General features: G+C 36.8%; 1 protein-coding gene across 1 annotated transcript; it reads left to right on the forward strand.

Moving 5' to 3' along the window:
- Positions 1-1,507: 1,507 nt before the first annotated feature.
- OR9G1 (olfactory receptor family 9 subfamily G member 1) lies at positions 1,508-6,297 on the forward strand. Its single transcript, NM_001005213.2, has 2 exons — positions 1,508-1,603; positions 2,783-6,297. The coding sequence occupies exon 2, from the start codon at positions 2,801-2,803 to the stop codon at positions 3,716-3,718; it is 918 nt and encodes a 305-aa protein (NP_001005213.1). The 5' UTR covers positions 1,508-1,603; positions 2,783-2,800; the 3' UTR covers positions 3,719-6,297.
- The last annotated feature ends 1,508 nt before the right edge of the window (positions 6,298-7,805 follow it).

The following is a 7,805-nucleotide window of genomic DNA, read 5'->3' on the forward strand; positions in this document are numbered from 1 at the left end:
AATTATTGCTGTTAATCTTGAAACATAGCTATGATGGGTGTTGCGAGGAATAAATAAATATAACATGTGAAACACTAAGCACAGTACTAGATTTAGAGTGAAGTGTTCTTAAATGATAGTTATTGCTTTTATAAATGATCCAATCCCCGAATCATCATTAGAGAGAATATTAGAATCAGAAGATGTTGAGTCCAGCAGTTTTCAAATTTTTTCTTCAAGAAACCCCTTGGAGTTCCCTTGGTTCCATGTTTTCAAAGATGTTGCCTCATCCAAAAAATTGTTCTAATTTTGTATGAAGTAATCAATTTAAGACAAACAGCCCATATGGCCACAGAATGAAACTACAAATCAAAATGATTTAACATTAAAATGATACATGTTTTCCAACAAATGCAGATGGAAAAAGAGCATTTTCTAATGAAGGGAAAATAACAGAAGTTAAACTAATGAGACGTAATATAAGATAACAAGCAGAGCTACAAGACAACAGTGAAGTAGGAAAGGGACATAAGAATTTCAGGGAAGTAGGTTGCAATATGGTGATCAGGGAACAACTTTAGAAGCCGTTAAGAACTGAGAAATGTGAGGGAACTGGCTATAAAGACTCCTAAGGGGAAGAGCATTGCAACAACAGCGTGGAGTGAAGGCAAGGCATTGCTCATACCATGGTATTCTAGAAACTGAATTATAGAATCATACTATGTTATTCTAGAAACTGAATTCTAGATCATACCATGTTATTCTAGAAACCCTTTGGAATGGATTGAACAAAGAGGAAAAGAGTAGGAGACACAAGCAAGTGAGTAAAGAGGGCAAAAGCACAAAGATCTTGCACATCTTTGTAAGAGTCTAACTTTTACTCTGAATAAGTGGAAAAGTCATTGGATGGAGTTCTTAGAAGAGAAAACTAACATGATCTAACTGGCATTTTAACAGGACCATTTTGGCTGCCATGTGGAAAGACTCAAGTGGGATAAGAATAAAAGCAGGAAGACCAATTAGAGGCCAATCATGGCCCCATGTAGAGTGAAAACACTGGAGCTGGGAGAAACTAGTCATGTTCTAGATGCATTTTGAAGGTAGAATCTAGGAGATGTTGCTAATTAATAAGCGACAGAGTGTAAGAAAGAGAGTGGTCAAGAATAATATAAAACGACTCTCCCTAACATGGAATAATGCCATTTACTGCAGTGGAGAAGACTGAATGAGGATCAGGTTAGGGAGGATTGTTAGTAAAATTTTTTTCTTAATGATAACACTTAAGCAAATAATATAGCTCTTAGAATACAATGATAAAACAGTATTCCCTGTGAACTCAATTTTCTTAAGATGCCCAGGAGACATTAGGGAAGAAATATTAATTGGGCATTGGAATCCATGAGTCTCACTTCAGGGAGGAGGCATAGTCAGGGGAGGTAACATTGGAGTCATGTGCATATGGAAGCATTTAAAGTCATCAGATTGGATGAGATTACCAGAAACTGATGGCAGATGGAGAAGACCAGTGGTTCAAGCGCTGATTCTGGGGACACTCCAAAGTTCAAAAGTCTGTTCTGTAGCACTGAGACACATGCAGCAAGAGAAGTAGAAGCAAACCAGACAGGTATGACAACCTGAAAACCAAGTAAAGATTTTCCAGCAGAGAAGGAGTGAGAAACTATGACAAACGCTGCAGGTAGATCTAATCAGAAGAGAACTTCATCATTCGGTTTAATCATGTGAGATCATTGCAACTTGAATGGAGTAGAGGTAGCAAAAGCTCAAGTGGAACAATCTTATATTGTTCTATATTTACTCAGAAATAACACTGTTTACTAACATTGATGTTTATTAATGCTAATATTGAGAGTTGAGTGTGAACTGAGTGTTTTTCCTAGGTCCCAAGAGGAAGATCATACAAATACAAATCATGTACACTTGAATTTTAACTTATTTACCTACAAAATGACTTAGGTTAATGAGAAGTTAGTCTGTCAAGAATTGTCTTTACAGTGTAAGACAGATGTATGCTAGATATATTTTGCTCTACCCATTTCAATAGAACATTTGTAGTTCTATATGAAGAGAATCCTGAAGAGAGTGGGTAGATTTTCAAGTCATCATAAGAAATACTGTAGTATACATAAATTACATTTAAAACTGGTGTTTCAATTATTGTTATTATTGTGTTTATTATAGAATATGTGTAAAATATAGTAAATACTGTGTACTTCGTAATTTCATCATTGTATATCATTCTTCTGTACACATTTTCCCCAAAACATTGTATCTATTCTCTTTTCCCTTTATACTTTTCTTAGTATTTTCTTAGGCCTATATATAATATTATGAGATATGAATTTATAATGCTTTCATAATGTTTCAATGCATAGAAACTAGAGGAAAAATACTTTATTCTTTTTAAACTATATTTAAAAGAGGGATGCCCAGTATTTTAAAGACAAACAAGTGATACTTAAAAATAGAAATGTACACATTTAGCAAAAGAGAAAATTGACAAAAGGAAGAGGATCAAAGTATAAGAAAAATAGCAATTATAAGTACATCTTTTCTTCACTTGAACAGTCATTCCTAAAGGAAAAACATAATTAAACAACTTAAGAAATTTAGAATTGAATACATAATTGCAAAGCCTGATTGTTGCAAAATGAAGACTTTCTAAAACAAACAATTAGATTGTTGGTTCTAGACTTCACGAAACACTGCAAATGTGATCTTATGTAACATAATTCTACATATTCATGACAGTAATGCAAACTGAGCTCATTTTCTTTCCCCATAGGTGAGATTCCTTACAGCCATGCAGAGGAGCAATCATACAGTGACTGAGTTTATACTGCTGGGCTTCACCACAGACCCAGGAATGCAGCTGGGCCTCTTCGTGGTGTTCCTGGGCGTGTACTCTCTCACTGTGGTAGGAAATAGCACCCTCATCGTGTTGATCTGTAATGACTCCTGCCTCCACACACCCATGTATTTTTTCACTGGAAATCTGTCGTTTCTGGATCTCTGGTATTCTTCTGTCTACACCCCAAAGATCCTAGTGACCTGCATCTCTGAAGACAAAAGCATCTCCTTTGCTGGCTGCCTGTGTCAGTTCTTCTTCTCTGCAGGGCTGGCCTATAGTGAGTGCTACCTGCTGGCTGCCGTGGCTTATGACCGCTACGTGGCCATCTCCAAGCCCCTGCTTTATGCCCAGGCCATGTCCATAAAGCTGTGTGCATTGCTGGTAGCAGTCTCATATTGTGGTGGCTTTATTAACTCTTCAATCATCACCAAGAAAACGTTTTCCTTTAACTTCTGCCGTGAAAACATCATTGATGACTTTTTCTGTGATTTGCTTCCCTTGGTGGAGCTGGCCTGTGGCGAGAAGGGCGGCTATAAAATTATGATGTACTTCCTGCTGGCCTCCAATGTCATCTGCCCCGCAGTGCTCATCCTGGCCTCCTACCTCTTTATCATCACCAGTGTCTTGAGGATCTCCTCCTCCAAGGGCTACCTCAAAGCCTTCTCCACATGCTCCTCCCACCTGACCTCTGTCACTTTATACTATGGCTCCATTCTCTACATCTACGCTCTCCCCAGATCTAGCTATTCTTTTGATATGGACAAAATAGTTTCTACATTTTACACTGTGGTATTCCCCATGTTGAATCTCATGATCTACAGCCTAAGGAATAAGGATGTGAAAGAGGCTCTGAAAAAACTTCTCCCATAAATCAAGATTATCTCCACCAGAGGAGAAACAAAGACGACCTTAGATGGAGTGTTGTGTATTTCAAACAGAGTTACCATTGTGCTTTATCGTGATCAGTCCCCTTCTTGACACGTGAGAGTTACAGACATGTACAATAAGAAAATTAGGAAAATTTCGGACAAAAACATCTGAATATATAAGAATTTGAATTGAATTTCCTATCTCTCTTATTAAAAACAAACATAAACCTTAAGCCCAAAACCTCTCCTATACCTTCATAAAGTGAGGAACAGCCTACCTCATTAGCCTAAGATTTGGCTAACTGATACATATAGAAGAGTATCTATATAGTTCCTAGAACTAGGAAGAATTGTGCTCAATTTTTAATATTTTCCTATGTTTAACTGGATGAAATTCATCACTTTCCATTCCCTGAACAGAATATCTTAAACATTGTTCTACATGCTTTCCCCCCACAAGAAGAATTAGCACAAAGATCCAGAGGCACCCAAGAAATAACTCAGTACAAATGAGACCCAGAAAGGCATGACCTTGCTATGCCTCTTACATAAGTTTCTTGATGAAGAAAAAATTCATCAAGATGCCATATATATGATTTTTGTAATTCACTGTATAACTCCCAGAGCTCCTCTTTATTTTACAGGGGTGAACTTACAAGGACTTTTACATTAAAATTGTGACCTTCTGAGCATCAAAGGGCAATTATCATCATTTAAAAAATAATTATTATTTTGGCTAAGTGAAACAATTTCAAAAATAAAAGTCTATGAGTACACATTGATCAACAGATATTTTATTTTTATTTTTAATAGATATTTTATAGAGAGAATATGTATGTACAGGTGTGATTCAACAAAAGGATATTTCACTTAGCATAATGTCTTCTAGGTTTATTCACGTTGTTGTAGGTGACAGAATTACATTTCTTGTAAGGCTGATTATTATTCCATTGTGTACTATATGCCACTTTTTCTTTTATCGATTTATCTGTTGATGGGCACTTACGTTGTTTCTAATTGTTAGCTATTGTGAATAATACTGCAATGAACATGAAAGCACAGATATCTCCTCAACATACCTATATCAATTCCTGTAAGCATCTACCCAGAAGTGGAATTGTTAGATCATATGGTAATTCTATTTTTAGTTTTTGGAGAGACCTCTATATTGTTTTTCAAAATGGCTGTGCTAATGTACATTCCCATCAATGGAGTATAAGAGTTCCCTTTACTCCACATCCTGGCCAATGCTTGATAATTTTCATCTTTTTGATAATGACCATTGTAATATAATGCATAATGTATAATATACGAAGTGATATTTCATTATGATAAGTGAAATAAGCCAGGCACAGAAGAAAACATATTGAATCATCCCACTTATGAGTGGGTTCTAAAAGTTAGAACTCCTACAAGTAGAGAATACAATAGTAGTTGCCAGTGACTGGGGCAGGGTGGGTGGAGAAAGGAGAAGTGTTGATCAAAGGGTACAAAGTTTCATGTAGGCAGGAGGAATAAGTTCTGGTGAACTATTGCAGGACAAGGTGACTACAGTTAACAGTAATGTATTGTGTATTTCAAAATCATTTAAAAAGTGGATCTTACATGTTCTCACCACAAAGCAGTGGTAAGTATATGAGGTGATGGACATAATAATTAGTCGAAGATGTTCAATCTACAATGTATACATGTACTGAAGCATTGTCTTTTACCCCATACATATATAAAATTATGGTTTATCAATATGAATAAAATTTAAAAAACAAAAAGATGAATATGACAAGTGGCATTTAATTTTCATTAGTTTTTCAATGTAAGATAGTACTAATGTAATTTATGCTTATAAACACAAATTCTCTCTGGTTTGAATTGGCACAAGCAGTAAAGGGAGAAAATGCAAGAAACTGAATTAGGCAGGTAGACCCAGAAAATGTACAAGATTCACACAGAGTAGAAAGAGTAAATCCACACTGGCAATCATGGACATTACAAAGTAAGTGGGTGCAAGAAATAAAATCAATGCAAGTTGCAACACACAGTAACACAGCCGAAACAGAGTCCAACAGTGTAATTCCAAGATGCTCGTGTCAGCCGTTCTAAAAAGGAACGCTATATATGCCAACTCAGTCTTCTGGTTTTCTAAAATACATGTTCTATTTCCCACTAATGATATTAAAATTCCTATAAAACACATTCTTCATTTTTTAAAGTAATGTTAACAGACTCAATTAGTATATTGCAGTGGCAGTAAATCAATTATTTTATGTTTCTTGACCGAAACTAGAAAGTACATCATTCCAGAGGGAAGCATCAATTGCAGAAAGTAAAACTGATGTGACACATCTAATCTTAAAACACCGTGGTATCATAAACCCTGACATGTAACTATAGAAGAGAGTCTCAAACTACTTGACGGCTTCTATTCTAATATTTTTATGGGAGCCTACCAGAATTCATTCTTCAAATAAGAATAAGAATATGCCCATATATCCATATATTGTAAACATAGCTCGCTAAGTGCATATTCATATTATTTTATACTTGGAAGTTAGCTCTAGAATTATGTCTAAGTAATATTACAGAGACCCTAGTAAAAAGATAAAGTACAGCTAATAATAATCTTAGGAAAACATAAAAATAAATAAGAACATAAAATAGAAGCATGCAGCATGTTTTATAACATAATTTAGAAATATGTTTAAGTGTAAATTTAGCAGTAAGTTTTGCATTCACTTTTGGAAATGTTTCATCTGCAACTTATTGATTTGAAGTATTCAGAAAAATCTTTCATATTAATTTGAAAGTAAAATACAAATTCCTACGGAAATTTAACTACTGAGGTCAAAAATGAATTTGAAATTCTTAAGGTAAAGTGATTTGTAAGATTTTTCTTGTTGATATGAGTTTTAATAAATAAAACATTTCTAAAAGTACAAAAGTATACTGTGGTCTCGTCCTTACAAAAGATCTCCTAAATTTAATGTTCTTTGAAAAATGCACAACTCTTAGTGGTTTCATTAGTCTGGATTCTTCAGAGAAGTAGAACCAATAGAATGTGTGCATATATGTGTGTGTGATATGTGTGTGTGTGTGTTTGTGTGTGTGTGTACAGATTAATTTTGAAGCCTGTCAAGGCTAAACCTGCAGTGTGGCCTAGGAGACTTGAGACCAAGGAATGCTGCTGGAGCACCTGCAGGCTGGCAGCTTAGAGACCCAAACAGTCAATGGTGCAGATTAAATCCGGGAGCAGAGTGCCGGAGAATACCCTCCTGCTTAGGAAGGTCTATTATTTTTCTTCTTTTTTCTGTTTTGGCCGTTAACTGATTGGTTTTCTCATATAAAATTACCTTGTTAGTAGTTTTTCAAGATGGTAGACTGAAGGTTTTGTTAGTGTGCTTCTTCCACTTGCAAAGACCAAATAGTGCAGAGACATGCTATGAGCCTTCTTCCAAGAAGCAACACAGGAACTTAACAGGAAAACTGAATGAAACCACAGGCCCTTTGAAGGAAGTGGTGGCTGCAGCCTACACCATAAGCCAGGTGGAAAACCGTGAGTCTCCAGCACGAGGGTGGCAGAAACTGCATCAGGTGTATGCACTCCCACTGGGAAACCTGGCAATCCAGGCCACGGAGGAAGGCCTTAAGCCTACCCAGGACTGGAGCTGACGTACTGAGCAGTGGGGAGTATATGAGAAGGAGCAGGATCAGGACATGCTTTGCATGCACTCCCAGTCACCGGGGGGACCTGGGAAGCCATTCCTGATCCTCTACAGCACAGAGGACTTTGCAGAAGTCAGCCAGCTAACTCACATGGCAGTCACTGGTTAAGAGAAGCTCCTGAGATTTGTGATATAATCCTGATTGAAGATGAAACCACTTGTCCAGAACTGAGGCACAAGTAGAAAGTTTGCTAAAGCCTTGGGCACAGGAGCTGGGTGTTCCTGCTTCATGGGACAAATGGGAAGGACATGGTCTGAAAGCTATGGTCTGTCTCCCTCAGGAATGGCCTTGTGTCATTTTGAGTTCTGAGTGCTGGCTGCCTGTAAACCAGGTACCTGCTGCAGGTGGAATACTGCAGGTATGAGACC

This window comes from Homo sapiens, chromosome 11, assembly GCF_000001405.40.
Source record: "Homo sapiens chromosome 11, GRCh38.p14 Primary Assembly".
Classification (NCBI taxonomy): Eukaryota; Metazoa; Chordata; class Mammalia; order Primates; family Hominidae; genus Homo; species Homo sapiens.

Bases quoted from the DNA above. Each gene is read 5' to 3' on its own strand.
- OR9G1 (NM_001005213.2), top strand. From the start codon at position 2,801: ATGCAGAGGAGCAATCATACAGTGACTGAGTTTATACTGCTGGGCTTC.